General features: G+C 44.5%; 1 protein-coding gene and 1 pseudogene across 2 annotated transcripts in view; one reads left to right on the forward strand and one right to left on the reverse strand.

The window, feature by feature from the left end:
• The window catches only part of TIAM2 (TIAM Rac1 associated GEF 2), a 262,409-nt gene that overhangs the window by 4,738 nt on the left and 239,974 nt on the right, over positions 1–17,697 (forward strand). The window contains exon 1 of one of the 2 annotated variants that reach the window (NM_001384546.1): positions 13,712–13,771. The exons of the other annotated variant lie outside the window; for it this stretch is intronic. The gene's annotated coding sequence lies outside the window, so the exon portion shown is untranslated. Of the gene's footprint in view, positions 1–13,711; positions 13,772–17,697 lie in introns of those variants that run through there. 2 annotated transcript variants of the gene reach the window in all.
• On the reverse strand, positions 4,740–5,276 carry LOC100421330 (lysophosphatidylcholine acyltransferase 3 pseudogene; annotated as a pseudogene).

Below are 17,697 nucleotides of genomic sequence, written 5' to 3' on the forward strand. Positions count from 1 at the left end.
TGGAACAATGAACAGTAAGAGGAGTTAGAAGCTGTGGCAGTGACTACTTGGCCTGTGCATACATCATCTCATTTATTCCTCTGAATTTAAAAAAAGTAGACTTTTGTGGAATAAGGAAGAAATTCATGCTTAAACAACTCCCTCAATGTTAAACATGTATCGAGTGAGCCCCCTATGATGTGTTAAGAACTGTTAAGCTGGGCTGGGTGCGGTGGCTCACGCCTATAATCCCAGCACTTTGGGAGGCCAAGGGGCGGATCACCTGAGGTCGGGAGTTCAAGACCAGCTGACCAACATGGAGAAACCCCGTCTTTACTAAAAATACAAAAATTAGTGGGCGTGGTGGCACATGCCTGTAATCCCAGCTACTTGGGAAACTGAAGCAGGAGAATCACTTGAACCCGGGAGGCAGAGGTTGTGGTGAGCTGAGATTGCGCCATTGCACTCCAGCCTGGGCAACAAGAGGGAAACTGTTGCAAAAAAAAAAAAAAAAAAAGCATCCAAAAAACTGTTACGCTCTCAACACGATGGTCAGTAAGAGAACTTACTTTAAGTAGAGAACAGTAAGTGACATTAAGTGACACAAAAGCAAATTCCTTAAGTTTTAGGTGGAGGAGTGATAGGTCAGATTTGCATTTGAAACCAGTTCCGTTCAGGCACCTTGGCTTACGCCTATAATCCCAGTACTCTGGGAGGCCGACGCTGGGGATCACTTGAGGTTGGGAGTTCAAGACCAGCCTGGCCAACATGGTGAAACCCTGTCTCTACTAAAAATACAAAAATTAGCTGGGTGTGGTGGTGCACATCTGTAGTCCGAGCTACTCGGGAGGTTGGGGCACGAGAATTGCTTGAATCCGAGAGGTGGAGGTTGCAGTAAACCAGGATTGCGTCACTGCACTCCAGCCTGGGCGACAGAGCGAGACCCCATCTCAAACAAACAAACAAAAAAAGAAACCAGTTTCTTTTTAGATTGTTGTGAGTAGATTTAGGGAAGCAAGCCTGGAAGAAAGAAAGTCAGTGGTAACAGTGTAGATCATCAAAGGTGGTGGCAGTAGAATAGTGGGGACAGACATGGAAGAAGATTCCAGAAATATAAAGGAAGTGCAGTGGACTTGGTGACTGAGAAAATGGAGGGCAGGGAGAATCACATCCAGTAAAGGATGACACCCAGGCTGCTCACCCATATGACAACCTAGAAGGAGAAGGTTGGAGACCTGTGGGATCCTTTACCCAAGTTCACGTAGTTTGAAATTGCACAGCTGAGATTTGAATCCAGGTCTGTCTGACCACATGATCCTTCCACTCTTCTATCCTGACCCAATGGTTAGCATGCCCTTAATTGTAAACAAATAAAGGATCTTAATAAAAATCATCTAGCATTTGAAAGCTTTTATTTTTTGTGAAATGTTTTTTCATAACATTAAGGAAAAAAAAATGCCCACGGATGGTTACCGCCAGCAGACATAGGCTGGTGCCCTGAGAAGGTTCCCTGCCAGAAGCGTATAATGTATTTCCTCTCCTGGATGTTACATGGCCTGGGCCCTGGCCCACTCCTCTCCAGGCATTCCATCGAGCTGGAAATTGGTCTGCTTTGTTTTCATTTATGAGGTTTGTAGATTGAGTAACAGAATCTGGACTACAGTGTTCATTGTGTTTTCATGGTGTTGGATTACAAGCTTTCTTTTAAATTCATGGTTAGGTTTCTGAATGTGCCTTTTGGACATAGTTCTTCATGAGTTCCCATTACTAAGTGATTTCTTTGCATTGGGAACAGTATGTAAAACTCGAATTTTGAAGCTTCTTTTGTCAGTAGTTTGGGAAATGGCTTAATAAATAAGCTTGCAAATCTTTCCTTATGCTGGTGAAAGTGAAGGATTCTCATTGCTTTTAAAATATAGTGATGAATTTTAGTGCAATATTTTGTGTTATTTTAAAATTCAAAAAAATTATATTGTTGTTGTCTAGTAAAGAGCATTCTGTGCCTTAAGATTTTCATCTCTAAAAGAAGGATGACAGCAGCGCCTTCTTAGAATATTGTTTTGAGGATTGAGAAATTAATGAATTAACATAATACAGCTGGGTGTAGTGGCTCACGCCCATAATCCCAGCACTTTGGTCGGCTGAGGCGGGATGATCACTTGAGGCCAAGTATTTGAGACCAGCCTAGGCAACATAGTAAGACCCTGTCTCTGTAAAAAAAATACAAAAATTAGCTGGGCATAGTGGCATATGCCTGTAGTCCCAGCTACTAAGGAGGCTGAGATGGGAGGATTGTTTGAACCCAGGAGGTCGAGGCAACAGTGAGCCATGATCACGCCACTGTACTCCAGCCTGGGTGACAGAGCAAGACCTCGTCTCAAAATAAAATAAAATTAGCATAATATGCTTAGAACCTGGCCTGACGAAATGAGAAAGTTCACTAAGTGTTTTCTATTTCTTTCTGTCATTTTTTTCCTTGCATTATTCCCTGTCTGGTTAACCCCCAGTCATCCACGGAGACCCAGAAAAGCCTTCCATCTGAGTTGCTTCTTAGGTACTTGTGTCTATATCAATTGTTGCATTCATCATATAATATTTAATTCTTGATGACTTCTCCATCACACAGGGAGTGCTTTGCTTGTTTTATTTATTTATTTATTTATTTTTGACACGGAGTTTCGTTCTGTTGCTCAGGCTGGAGTGCAGTGGTATGATCTCAGCTCACTGCGAACTCTGCCTCCAGGGTTCGAGCAGTTCTCCTGGCTTAGCTTCCCAAGTAGTTGGGATTACAGGCACCCACCACCACATCCAGCTAAGTTTTGTGTGTGTGTGTTTTTTTTTTAGTAGAGACAGGGTTTCACCATGTTGACCAGGCTAGTCTCGAACTCTTGACCTCAGGTGATCTGCCCTCCTTGGCCTCCCAAAGTGTTGGGATTATAGGTGTGAGCCACTGAGCCCAGCCATGCTTGTTTTATTTTTGTACCACTTTTATATCCAGCCTGGTGCTTTAGTGAACACTCTTAAATGGTGGTTGACAGAATGTGTGAAGTGTTCATTGAAATTGTTTTTAAAAGTATTATAATATGATTATGAGATTGAGAGACCCTTTGCCAAATATTTGACTCTCTAAATGGACTTTATCAATAACAAAGTGCTGAAAGTTAAAATACATAAAGGTTGATCCGTTTTTTTCCGAAGCGTGGAATTGTGGCAAGGTTATTGTATTGGATATTAACAGCTCTAGATTCTGTTGTGGAATATACCTTTTACCCATTTGGCAGGTCACCTAAACATTTGAGGGAGCCAGGTGTAGTGGTGCACGCCTGTAATCCAAGCTACCCAAGAGGCTGAGGCACAAGAATTACTTGAACCCGGGAGGCAGAGGTTGCAGTGAGCCGAGATCACACCACTGCACTTCAGCCTAGGCAACAGAGTGAGACTCTGTCTCAAAAAAGAAAAGAAATTACTTGTCCCCATTTTCACAGCCTCCCTGGCCCCAGAGAACAGAAAAGTCAGAGAGGTGGAAGACTCGACGCTCCCAGCTGTGCCTCAGCTGTGGGCCAAGTCTCCACCGGGGCCAAAGGGGACACTCTTGTGGGAGGAGCAGAGGGGCCCACATCTCCCCTCTCGGCTCCCCCATGCACACTGCCTTATCTCTCCCCCTCTAGCCAGGAATCGGTTGTGTGTTTCCTCTGCCAATTTACTGTGATTGTGTATGTGCTGCTACCACCGCAGCTGCCACGGTGGGGCAGGGAGGAGGCCAACATGGTGAAACCCTGTCTATACTAAAAATACAAAAATTAGCTGGGTGTAGTGGCAGCTGCCTGTACTCCCAGCTACTCAGGAGGCTGAGGCAGGGAGAATCACCTGAACCTGGGAGATGGAGGTTGCAGTGAGCCAAGATTGACGGAGCGAGACTCCATCTCTCCCAACTCCCCCCAGAAAAGTGCATTCTGTTGAGTCTGTTGTGTGAGATGTTTTGCACTTATGTGACTTTTATCAGTGCCTTTGCTTTTTGTATTTTTAGTAGAGATGGGGTTTTGCCCTGTTGGCCAGGCTGTCCTGAACTCCTGACCTCAGGTGATCTGCCTGCCTCGGCCTCCGAAAGTACTGGGATTACAGGCATGAGCCACCGTGCCTAGCTGTGATGAGTAATTTCTGCACCAGTCCTGCTGTAGGCTACCTGCAAGACAAGATGTTTGATTGGAAGGCTGGTCAGAGTCACTTCTAGCTCCTGGTCTGTAGTCTTTCCAGAGTCTTCCTAGTGTGCCTCAGTAAGTCAGAGTAGTCAAGGCCCATACTCTGTATGTAGTAGCCAGGCTAATCCTTGGAGTTCACCCCAAATTTCCAATACCATCTTTCTGTTTTTGTTTGTTTTAGATGGAGTCTTGCTCTGTCACCCAGGCTGGAGTGCAGTGACATGATCTTGGCTCACTGCAACCCCCACCTCCTGGGTTCACGCGATTCTCCTGCCTCAGCCTCCCGAGTAGCTGGGACTTGTTACAGGCGCCCGCCACTACGCCCAGCTCATTTTTTGTACTTTTAGTAGAGACGGGGTTTCACCGTGTTAGCGAGGATGGCCTCAATCTCCTGACCTTGTGATCTGCCCGCCTCGGTCTCCCAAAGTGCTGGGATTATAGGCATGAGCCACTGCGCCCGGCCTCTTAATACCATCTTTTTTTCCAAGTCTGTTACTCTGTTATGTAACCTGGTATTTTGAGCTTAGCTGTAGGACATTTACTTACCAGGCGAATAGACTATTGCATCACCTTTAACTCCTCTTTCTTTGGTACCATTGCTTTGTAAATATAGTAGGCTCCAAAAGAAGATGTGCCCAAGATGGATTTATAGAGTGGGGAGAGGTCGCTGAGGTGGGCACACAGTCTGGAGCATCCCTCACTGCCAGAGTTTGCAGTGAGTCCCTCTCAGCTTCCCAGGCAGGCCTTCACTTACCTTAAGCCATTTGCCCCATGTGAAGAGGCAGAAGGCAGTCATGGAGTAACCCATGATGAGCCAGTGGATGGTCAGTTGCACCAGAGTAGAAGGCTTGGAGGATGGTAATGGAGGTCAGGTTGCCCAAGGCAAGGCTCTCTCCAATTAGCCTGGCAGCCTGAGGAGGGAGGAGTAGCTCATCAGCAGCTTGTCCCTCATTTCCCCTTTCACCTCCACCCTGGAGGCCTGCCTGTCTTTCCACAATAAAAATGAGGAATTCCGTCTGGAAGCAGGCCAGGCATCCTGAGTACAGGCTATGCCAGAGGGCCAGGAATCTTGGAGAGACCCTGAGAGAGTTTTTTGTTTTTGTTTTTGTTTTTTATTTTTTATTTTTGAGATGGAGTCTAGCTCTATTGCCCAGGCTGGAGTACAGTGGCACGATCTCGGCTCACTGCAACCTCCACCTCCTAGGTTAAAGCAATCCTCTTGCCTCAGCCTCCTGAGTAGCTAGGACTACAGGTGTGCACCACCATGCCTGGCTAATTTTTGTATTTTTACTAGAGACGGGGTTTCACCATGTTGGCCAGGCTGGTCTTGAACTTCTGACCTCAAGTGATCCACCCACCTTGGCCTCTCAAAGTGCTGGGATTACAGGGGTGAGCCACCTCACCTGGCACTGTGAGAATTCTTTACTTTTTTTTTTTTTTTTGAGATGGAGTTTTGCTCTTGTTGCCTAGGCTGGAGTGCAATGGTGTAATCTCGGCTCACTGCAACCTCTGCCTCCCGAGTTCAAGTGATTCTCCTGCCTCAGCCTCCTGAGGGATTGCAGGCGCCTGCCACCACGCCCAGCTAATTTTTCTATTTTTAGTAGAAATGGGGTTTCACCATGTTGGTCAGGCTGGTCTTGAACTCCCGACCTCAGGTGATCTGCCTGCCTCGGCATCCCAAAGTGCTGGCATCACAGGCGTGAGCCACTGCACCTGGCCAGATTCTTTACTTTCAAGGAATTTGAATCATTTGAAAAAGTCACTGGAGAAAAGGGTGGGTAAGGAGGAGCCACTGACTGACTAGTTCTTGGATCGAGCCGCCTGCCTCTGGGTCCTCGAGCCTCGAGGAGTAGAGGGCAGGGAGGCTCCCACGTGTAGCCCCCCGGGGTCCTGGAGGCAGTGCTGCCTGATTAGTTTTACAGATGGGAGGCCGACCCACGGCAGAGCTGGTGATCAGTGACCGAGTGCCTACCAAGTCCCTGACGTTGAGGTCAGTGGGGAACCAGATACACTCTAATGCTGCCCACACTCTAGTGGTAGGGACAAACAAGTAAAGAAGATGTTTATAATCAGGGCAGCAGAGGACATAAGTCCTGTGGCAGAGCTGCAGTAACACCCAGGGCTCAAGGCACTTTTTTTTTTCAAATCGGAGTCTCGATCGGGCATGGTGGCTCATGCCTGTAATCCTAGCACTTTGGGAGGCTGAGGTGGGTGGATCACAAGGTCAGGAGTTCGAGACCAGCCTAGCCAACATGGTGAAACCCTGTCTCTACTCAAAATACAAAAATTACCGGGTGTGGTGGCGCATGCCTGTAATCCCAAATACACAGGAGGCTGAGGTGGGAGAATCTCTTGAACCCTGGAGGCGGAGGTTGCAGTGAGCTGAGATTGTGCCATTGCACATCAGCCTGGGCGACATTTTTAGAGACTGTCTCCCCCACCTCCCCCCACCAAAAAAAAAAAAAAAGAAAAAAAAAAGACACAGTGTTACTCTGTTGCCCAGGCTGGAGTGCAGTGGCGTGATCTCGGCTCACCACAACCTCCACCTCCCGGGTTCAAGCGATTCTCCTGCCTCAGCCTCCTGAGTAGCTGGGATTACAAGTGCCCACCACCACACCCAGCTAATTTTTTTGTATTTTTAGTAGAGATGAGGTTTCACCATGTTGGCCAGGCTGGCCTCAAACTCTTGACCTCAAGTGATCCACTTGCCTTGGCCTCCCAAAGTGTTGGGATTACAGGCATGAGCCACTGTGCCCGGCCAATTTTTGTATTTTTTGTGGAGAAAGGGTCTTGCCATGTTGCTCAGGCTGGTCTACTAGGATTACAGGTGTAAGCCACTGCGGCTGGTCTGCTACTGGCTTTTTGATCGTACTTTGAGAAACTGCCCTAAATAAAGTAAGACTTGCGCTTGTAGGGCATTCAGTGTGTGGAGGGTGTGGGGGAGTGGAGTCAAGGTCTCTCTTCCCGTCTCTTTTCCCTGCATGATGCCCCTTTGCATAGGCTTGCATAGGATTGTGAGGATCTAACCATGTTAGTTAACTTGCCAGAGATGGGCAAGAGATTTGTAGGCCAGTCACATATAAATGCAGCACAGGTTTTCTTATTTCAGGGTGATCCATGGTTTGACAGGAACCATTTTTCTTTTTCTTTCTTTCTTTCTTTTTTTTTTTTTGAGAGGGAGTCTCGCTCTGTCGCCCAGGCTGGAGTACAGTGGCACAATCTCGGCTCACTGCAAGCTCCGCCTCCCGGGTTCACGCCATTCTTAAGGAAATTTTTAAGGAAAACATCTGGTTTCTAAAGAAGAGGTTTGTTGAATATATTAGTTATAAGCATACTGACAGTGAAAACGATTAGGTAAAATGTCAGGTTACTTAAAAACATCATTTTGTAATGAATATTAGTGAGAAAGCATTTCTGTCTCTTCAATAAAGGCCATTTCCTGAGGGATACCAACAGGCAGGACTTTGCTTAGTTCTATTTCAGTTTACCATGTAATTGGAATTTTAAAATGACCTGTCTTAAAAAATCTGGGGATGTCACTAAGTCAGACTGTCATCAGTTTCACCCTGGCCATTAGTCTAAACGTGTGAGGAAATTGAGCCCGTCGGATGGTTGCCATTGCAGGAGTCTTGGTGTGTGTCGAGAAGAGAATGTCACTGCAGCGTGGCATTTTCTGAAAAGCTGTCTGTCACTGAAGCTAAATTTTGATAGCTTGATAAATCACATTAGAAAATTCACTAAGGCGTGGAGTGTACAGAGTTGGCAGCCAACAGTTGGAATTTTCGGCAAACCAACAAGTGGGTTGTTCCGAAATATGTGGACACGTACATATGTAATTGTCGACCTTAAATAATACATCATATGGCTTTTTCCATTGTCTAAAGGAAAATCTCTAAACATTTATAGAGTGCATTGAAAATTCTTGAATAATTTCAAGATATAAAAGTACATTTATATTTCTGTGTGTGATAGATGATAATATGACACACTTGAAAACTGTGTTTGTTGTAATTTCTCATTTGGCATTCTTAAAATTTGCTAAAATAGCATGACACTGAGATGTGGCTTACAGTTAGTGGTTAGTCCGGATAGTGCCTCTTATGTATATATTACGCAGAAAGTCAGCAAAATCACCTGTGCACATGACGAACATATACCTCAAACCTCAAGAAATATAAGGCACAGAGAAATCAATTGCCTCAGGCTAGGGGTGAAACACAGTCACTTTCCTACTCATTTCCAGGTCTCTGAACCAGGTTTTCCTGGAAGGAGCTGTCTCCATTTAGTAATATTGCCAAGTTTTGTCTCTTTGGTACTCACTGGTGGTCACTGATAGTCTAAGGGACCTTCCTTTTCTGGAAATAATTTTTTTTTTTTTAACCTGCTCCTTGCAGAGCAGGGCTACCCCGCAGGCAGTGTGCCCAGAGAAGCTGGAAGTAAATTTCTCAGCATCACTCAGTTCTTCTGAGGCTCAGTGTCTGGAATGTACGTATATTCCACTCTCTTGAATTATTCCTTGAAACTCAAACTTTTATTTGACCCTTTTGGATGTGGATGTTTGTATTGTGAGAAAAGAAAAATGCGCTGACTGTACTGTAGCAGTGTTTGGAAACCTTACTGTGATGTGTTTGTGTTTTCAGTGGGTGAATCTGTAGTTAGGTTCAGTGTTTTGGGGCAGTTGCTTAGCATGTACTGCCTTGGAGTTGTAGGATTGAAATAGGAGAGGAAGAGCATAATGGAAAGCACATTAGGTATTGTTCCAGAACAGAGGTTCTCAAACTTCAGGGCATCAGAATCACCTGGAGGGCTTGCTAACGCATAAATCTCTGGGTCCTGTCCTCTGTTTCTGACTCAGAAGATCTTTTTTTTTTTTTTTTTTTTTTTTTTTTGAGGCAGGGTCTCGCTCTGTCACCGAGGCTGGAGTGTAGTGGTACAATCTTGGCTCACTGCAGCCTCCACCTCCAGGGTTCGGGCGATTCTTGCACCTCAGCCTTCTGAGTAGCTGAGACTACAGCCGTGAGCCACCATGCCTGGCTAGGTTTTGTATTTTTAGTAGAGATAGAGCTTCACCATGTTGCCCAGTCTGGTCTTGAACTCCTGAACTCAGGTGGTCTGCCTGGCTTGGCCTCCCAAAGTTCTAGGATTACAGGTGTGAGCCACCATGCCTGGCCCTGACTCAGAAGATCTGAGTTCGGCCTGATAATTTGCATCTCTATGATGTTTCTAGGTGATGCTGCCACTGTGGCTGATCTGGGGCCGCATTTGGAGAGACTGTGTTCTGGAGGCTCAGTGTTGGTCTATACTGAGTGGAGATGTGGATCCGTAGACGTCATTCAGCTTCTCAGGGTCTGGGTTTGTATATACCTCTTGGTCCAGGCAGTATTAGTGATTTTCTTGAAAATCAGAGGAATCCTTTGTTCCAAACTACGACTTACGTGAAACCAAGACCCAAATATATAATATACAAAAGGGATGAAATGGAAATTATATTAATTACGCAGTTGTAAGGGACAGAAGGCCCCTTGGGCCCCTCTGAAGGACCTAATACAGTTGTGAATCCAGTGGAAGAGAGGATTTCTAAGGTCCCTCGCACCCATAGCTTTCTCTGATTCTGTATACTCTTTTTTTTTTCTCTTTTTCCAGGCTGAGTCTCACTCTGTCACCCAGGCTGGAATGCAGTGGTGCAATCTCGGCTCACTGCAACCTCCACCTCCTGGGTTCAAGTCATTCTCGTGTCTCGGTCTCCTGAGTAGCTGGGACTACAGGCGCCCGCCACCACACCTGGCTAATTTTTGTATTTTTAGTAGAGATGGGGTTTTGGTCTTGAATTCCTGGCCTCAAGTGATTTGTGTGCCTCAGCCTCCCGAAGTCCTAGCACTACAGGCGTGAGCCACCACGGCTGGCCAGATTCTGTATACTCTTGAAACTGTAGACTGTTAGAGAGTGGAAAGAATCTAAGCGGAAGACTTATGACTTTGAGGTTGTGCCTTTTGATATAAGAAGCTATGTTTAGGATATATAAATAGGTAGGCAATAAATTAGCTTGAGATTTTCATGGTAGCAACAGCTCATAAAAGATCCACAGCTCATTTCTAGTAGAACTGGGGAAATTCTAGTAAGAAAAGAAATGGGGTAAAGGGTTTGGGTAACACTGATGTGGCTGTGATCTTTGTGTGCAGCTGGTATGTGTAATTGAATTGAAATAATTTAACCCATTTTAATTTTCATTTATTTATTTTTTTGAGATGGAGTTTCGCTCTTGTTGCCCAGGCTGGAGTGCAATGGCACGATCTCGGCTCACTGCAGCCTGTGCCTCCTGGGTTCAACCCATTCTCCTGCCTCAGCCTCCCGAGTAGCTGGGATTACAGGCATGCGCCACCATGCCCGGCTAATTTTCTATTTTTAGTAGAGACGGGGTTTCTCCATGTTGGTCAGGCTGGTACCTCCCAACCTCAGGTGATCCGCCCGCCTCGGCCTCCCAAAGTGCTGGGATTACAGGCATGAGCCACTGCGCCCAGCTTACAAAAATTAAATTTAGGCCAGGCGCGGTGGCTCATGTTGGCCAGGCCGGTCTCGACCTCCTGACCTCAGGTGATCCGCCCGCCTCGGCCTCCCAAAGTGCTGGGCCTGATGGTGAAACCTGTCTCTACTAAAAATACAAAAATTAGCCAAATGTGGTGTCATGCGCCTGTAATCCTAGCTACTCGGGAGGCTGAGGCAGGAGAATCGCTTGAACCCGGGAGGCGGAGGTTGTGGTGAGCTGAGATCGAGCCATTGCACTCCAGCCTTGGTGACAAGAGTGAAACTCTGTCTCAAAAAAAAAAAAAATTAAATTTAGGAGCTGTTCTTTTCAGTCCTTGGTAATGTTGAGTGAGTCCTCTGTAACATGGAATGACCAAAACCAAAACCAAAACCAAGCCAAACCAAAGGGATTCTTAGGATATTTCAGGCGGTTATGCAATTTGTAAGACTCTAGGGGTCTTTACAACTCCTCACTTTCAGGAGTGGAGGGGTAGTTATGGAATTGACACTGGTTAGGAGACCTTTTGGACAGGCGATCATTTAATCTGTGCTTATCTTTTGAATTAGAAAATTTCTCCCTTGGACCTGACCTACATAGCTGCTGCCTTCCATGAGTTTGTTTCCATTTATAATCCTAATGAACAGTATTGAGATCCTGTGGCTTCTCAATTTTCATATCATAGCAAAATAACTGAGTGTGAGATATTTATTTTGAAAAACTTAGACGATCACTTCAGTCAGTCTTAGTTCTGAACAATGAAACAGCTTGTCTCAATGCACACTTCCTTCGGTCATATTGATCTATTTTTCTCCTCAGAGTGTCTGACAATGGTTTGCCCTGTGACTGGTATATAATTTAAACATGTGCTAAGCATAATTTTAGTTCCTTTGGGATCACCCTCAGTTTTTATACCTCATCTGGCTCTCACAATTCCATTTAATTACAGCTATTTTGATATTTGGCCAAGTCACTAAAACCAGTCAACTCTCTTATGGGGAGACAGTAAACTTTTGATCAGCATATCACTGGAAGTGAAATTCTTCTGCAAACAGACACTTTTTCAGGAATTATTCTTGTAAATGCAGAGAGGCGTTGGCAGTCTTTTGATACTTTTGGAGGGGTTTTGGTGGGTGCCAGATGGTGCGTAGCTACTGTATGCTTGGAAAATGTTAACGAGAGGCTCAGCTTTTCTGAGTGTGTGTTTTGGCTTTTTGAGATAGCTTCCATGTAGGAAGAAACTTCTTTTAAGACCAAATGTAGACTCTGGATTTCCTCCAAGAGAAGTATTGTAAATATATCAAAGCTGATGCTGTACTGAATTTCTTTATAGAAAGAAAAAAAGGAGTAGTTAATAAATAACATACAGTGTTTGAATAGAGCCTACAATTTCAAAGAGTTCATCTTTCCTTATGGCCAGTTTATTACAAACAGTTTATGTTCAAACCTTGTTTTTCTCCACCCCTTGCGTTGTCATATTTCATTTTGTACTGTACGGCCCACATTTCTTATCCTGTTCTTTACTATGAGAGTTCACTGAGCAAAAGTAAGTCCACAGAGCAGGAAGGGAATGATAATCCTTAACAGTATTTTGATTTTTCTCACTTTTGAGCTTTTGACTCAATGTAGTCTTACAGAAAGCACATTTGCTACTTTTGTGTTGGGTGGAGTGAGGTTTAAAAACAAAAATCAACCAACCAACTTACCAAACCCCATTAATTCCTAATTCTGTAAGATATAGGGTATCTTACAGAATTAATCACAGGGCAATTTCTGATGCTATTTTATTTTTTAAAATTTATTTTATTTTATTTTTTTGAGACGGAGTCTCACTCTGTAGCCCAGGCTGGAGTGCAGTGGCGTGATCTTGGCTCACTGCACCCTCTACCTTCCGGGTTCAAGCGATTCTCCTGCATCAGCCTCCCGAGTAGCTGGGACTACAGGCTCCCGCCACCATGCCTGGCTAATCTTTGTAGTTTTAGTAGAGATGGGATTTCACCATATTGGCCAGGCTGGTCTCGAACTCCTGACCTCAAGTGATCCGCCCTACTCGGGCTCCCAAAGTGCTGGGATTACAGGCGTGAGCCACTATGCCCCATCCTCTGATGCTATTTTAGAAATACTAAAAACAGACATCTTAAAATCTTACAATGTAGCATTAGAATCATATTGAAATCATAAAATACTGGGAGAGACCTTAGAGTGAGTTCAGACTCACTTCAGAAGATGGAGGTGAGAGAGTTTAAGTAACCTGCCCAGTTTCTCCCATCTCGTAAGTCTGGCCATTATGCTCGGGCTTCTGAGCGTCCTCTCACTTCTTCTCCTGCTCCTCACCTGTCCCCTACCTGTGGCACATTGTTGCTCCTCCTAACTGGGGCTGGAGGACCCAGGCTTTCTCTGCACATAGATGCTTACCAGTCCCCATGGCTCCTGTAGTACAGCTGAGGTTTGGGGTCTACAGCTGGCTTAGTCTGTGCTCCTGCAGGTGTGTGTGCCATAGACGATCCAGAAAGCAGGTCAGAAAATCTCTGTCTGCTTATTTCTGTGTTTGATAATCTGTAAGTTCTCTGTATTCCGAGTTTGATGTGGAGTTTTGTCTCTTTTGCTTTGGAGAACTCGAAATTTGGGAGACGGCTTGCTGGGAGAGGTGAGGAACTCAAGGGAAGAGAAGAAAGGCATGGTTACCAACATTTACTACATACCTTTTCTGCATCTGGCGCTGTGCTAGGTACTTCCAAGTGCTTGCTCCCCTCTGCTACACAAAAGGGATATTGGAAAGCCATATTGTACACGAGGATATTGAAGCATAGAGCTGGGATTGAATCCCAGTTTGTCTGACTTCATATCCTTCCTCCCAACTCTTTCTAGGGAGGGGGAAGGGCACAGAGCCCATGTGCGTTTTATGAGCCATATGGAAGTCTGAAGAGCTGCTCAGCTCTGACAGCTGTTTAAATTATCTGTGACACTGCATCCCACCATTAGCAGGGATGATGGATTGTTGACAGTCTCCATCAGAAAAGGCTGGAGTCCCAGTCCGTGGAGGAGCACTTACAGGGTCTTTCCTAAGTGCTGAGTAAGTATAATTGAAACTTGGATTCTAATTATTATTGCTGGGTTAGAAAGCATTGAAGATACTGTTAGGCAGATATATGTCTATGTATCTGTCTACACACACACACACACACACACACACACACACACACCTGAGATGGGGTAGATCATTGTATTTTTGTGTCTACCAGCAAGAAAAGGAAGGAAAAACTAAGGTGATGTGTATTTTTAGTAGAGATCTTCCATAATTTAAAGTCATTTTGTTATTTTCTTTGCTTTCACACAAAAAATATGTGGACCTTTTCTGTGTACCTTACTCCAGTAAATCTATTTTGTCTGTTCTCATGCTACTCATTTGTATTCCATTTTTAATTAACTGTTTGTCCTTGAAAATATATTTTTCTTTGTCTATTCTTATTTGGTGGAACTGTTTCATCTGTTTAGCTAGTGTTTATACTATTTGAGGTCATTGACCTTATTCTTATGTCTTTATCTTCCCTCATTATGCAGGATAGGGTTTAATTCATAGGCATCAAATAAATGTCTATAAAGTAGTCTTTTTATTGTTTCTTTCTCAAATTACTACAGTATTATGTTAAGTAGTTTTTGTGTTTTGTCTCTAAGTTTTGTTTAGTTCACCGTAGTGCTTTTTTTTCTATTATAATGTAAATCTTGCTGAGTTTTAATGCTAGTCATTTGTGAATATCTGATACATGAAACTCAATCACAAGACAGATGTAATTGTAAGATGATTCTTTGCTGTTTGTATCAATATAGGATGCTTTTGACTCTGGTGGATGGTTTTCCTGTTCTTTTGTCTTTAGTTTTTGGTCTTTTTGTGAGTATCTACGTACACTCAATTGTGAGTTCTTGTCATTTTATATTATGTGGTTCATTTACTTATTTAATTTTTCCTGCCAAATATTTTTCCTTTTTAAAAGTATGAGAGAGAAAGACATTTCCTTGGCAGAGATAGGGCCAGAGCAGCAGAGGGAATTGCAGTAAGCATCTGTTTACCTTTCTGATTCCTTCTTTGCAAATTCTTCTCCTATGAGAAAAGAATTTCCTTTAGGCTACAAGCAATGGGGCAGGCTCATGTTGAGTTTGGAGTATGAGTTGTCCGTCAGGAGGCTGGAGAGGCAGACTGGAACAAGAGCTGGTAAGGGCTTGAAAGTGTGGTTAGGATGTCTGGGTTTAACTTGGTCTGCAAGTGGGGAGGTGTTGGAGGGTTGGACTGGCAGAGTAGGGTGTGCATGCTGGAGCTGGGGGTTCCAGCTGGGCTACTGCAGGAGTCCTGGTGATCTGTGCAGAGAGTCCGCACAGGGGGGATAAGAAAGAGGAGAGAGAACCGTCCAGATGAGGCAGCTGGCTGGATATGGGGGCAAAGCATAGGGAGGGGTAAAAAATGACACTGGGCATTCAAGCCTGTGTACCTGTGGTAAGGATGATGCTACTCTACTAATGGAGTTGGGGGAAGATTACATTTGGGTCAAGTCAAGGAGAGTTTGGGTTTGATTCTTCTGATTTCTGAGGTGTCAGCAGGCTCTATGGGAAGTGCCTCGTGAGCAGTTAGAAATCTGGAGCTCAAGAGAGACAGGTCTGGGCTGGGTATGTAGATTCAGATTCATCTCTTAGAGGGGATGACTGAAACCATGAGAAATAATGAAATTGTCAAAGAAGGATGTGCAAAGAGAGGCAAAAAAGACAGGCAAGAGCCTTGTTTTCTGCTTAAATTTTGGAGGTGGAAGAAGAATAGGAGGCAGAGAAGGGGACTCAGAAAGAATTGTCGAAAAAGAGAATTATTAAATAAGTTTTGAGCAGGATGGGAGGTGAGGGAGAGTTTTTAAACTTTAGGCCGGGCGCGGTGGCTCATGCCTGTAATCCCAGCACTTTGGGAGGCCTAAGCAGATGGATCACTTGAGGTCAGGAGTTTGAGACCAGCCTGGCCAACATGGTGAAATCCTGTCTCTACTAAAAATACAAGAATTAGCTGGGCATGGTGGTGGGCACCTGTAGTTGCAGATACTTGGGAGGCTGAGGCAGGAGAATCTCTTGAACCCAGGAGGCGGGGGTTGCAGTGAGCCAAGATGGCACCACTACACTCTAGCCTGGGCCACAGAGCAAGACCCTGTTTCAAAAAACCAAAAAAAAAAAAAAAAAAAAAAAAAAAAACTCCAAACAAACCTTTATGTAATGTACATCAGACCATCAAGACTGGCAAAAATTTTAAAAGGCAACAATACTTGCTGGCAGGGGATCTTCAAGCGTTGCTGGTGGGAATAACCATTCTGGAAAGAGTTCTGGCAGAGTCTATTAAAATTTCAAACACACATAGCCTTTGACCCAGCAGTTCCTCCCCTGGGACTCTCTCCCATAGAAATAAAAGCAGCTGTATGTAATTTGTTTGCACAAGAATATTTATTGCAGCATTGTTTGTAGTGGCAAAGAATTAGAAACTAAGTGGATGCTTTCGACAGAGGAACAGTTGGATAAGATGTCACACGTCCATGCCTTGGATTTCTGCACTTGACCTGGAAGGATTCCCATGAGAAAAGAAAAGGCAAGAACCTTGTATACTATAATCCCATTTTTGTAGAACATAAAAGGATAAAAAAATTATTGTGTAGATGTTAATGGTGCTTGGGAGGAGAGAGATTGGTAGTATGGGAATACTATATTTAAATTTAAATGTAAATGGTATTTACATTTAAATGGTATTTACATTTAAATGGTAAATTTAAATTTAAATGGTATTTACATTTAAATTTAAATGGTATTTACATTTAAATGGTAAATTAAAAAAACCAGACTGCTCGACTGGGCTTGGTGGCTCATGCCTGTAATCCCAGAACTTTAGGAGGCCAAGGCGGGTGGATTGCTTGAGGTCAGGAGTTCAAGACCAGCCTGGCCAACATGGTGAAACCTGTCTCTACTAAAAATACAAAAAAATTAGCCAGGTGTGGTGATGTGTGCCTGTAATCCCAGCTACTCGGGAAGCTGAGGCAGGAGAATCGCTTGAACCTGGGAAGCGGAAGTTGCTGTGAGCCAAGATCATGCCACTGCACTCCAGCCTGGGTGATAGAGCGAGACTCCATCTCAAAATAAAAATCAATAAATAAAAATCAATAAATAAAATAACTTGGGAGGCAGGGATATCACCTGAGCATGAAGGGGCCTTGGAGTGGCTTCGGATACTTGAGTACATTCAAAAAGTTGATCTGATGTAGATGACAGAGAATTAATATGTCAGTAAACAGAGCAGGAACTCACAGGCAGGGCTGTGGGAAAGTTCGAGACTAGAATTCCTAGTTTTCCCTCCTTGCCCACCGCATTCGGTGATATTGAAAGGCAGTCTCCCGAGGAGTCTGGCTGGTCCAGGAGCAGGGATGGAATGATGGGACTTTGGCAGTTTACTTTCTATAGGCTAATAAGGCTTATCCAGGAAAACTGAGGGGCAAGGGGCTTCAGGTTGGTAATGACGTGATTGTGGAAATGAGTGGGGATAAATGGGTTGCAGCTGGTAGAGGGAGACACATTGTCTCAGAAGGACCCCTGTGAAAGGGGCTGGGGAGACCAGGGTAGATGACATGGGGTCTAGGGTCCCTGAGAGCTGAGAGCTTGGGTGGGGCAGCAGCTTCAGTGGTTGATATAAGTCCTTGCTTCCTGTCACTACTGCTTCTACAAGATCACCTACTCCATTTTGTCTTTTTTTTTTTTTTTTGAGATGGAGTCTCACTCTGTCGCCAGGCTGGAGTGCAGTAGTGCGATCTTGGCTCATTGCAACCTCCGCCTCCTGGGTTCAAGCTATACTCCTGCCTCAGCCTCCCGAGTAGCTGGGACTACAGGCACCTGCCACCACGCCCGGCTAATTTTTTGTATTTTTTGTAGAAACGGGGTTTCACCGTGTTAGCCAGGATGGTCTCAATCTCCTGACCTCATGATCCACCT

Source organism: Homo sapiens, chromosome 6 (assembly GCF_000001405.40).
Source record: "Homo sapiens chromosome 6, GRCh38.p14 Primary Assembly".
NCBI classification, from domain to species: domain Eukaryota; kingdom Metazoa; phylum Chordata; class Mammalia; order Primates; family Hominidae; genus Homo; species Homo sapiens.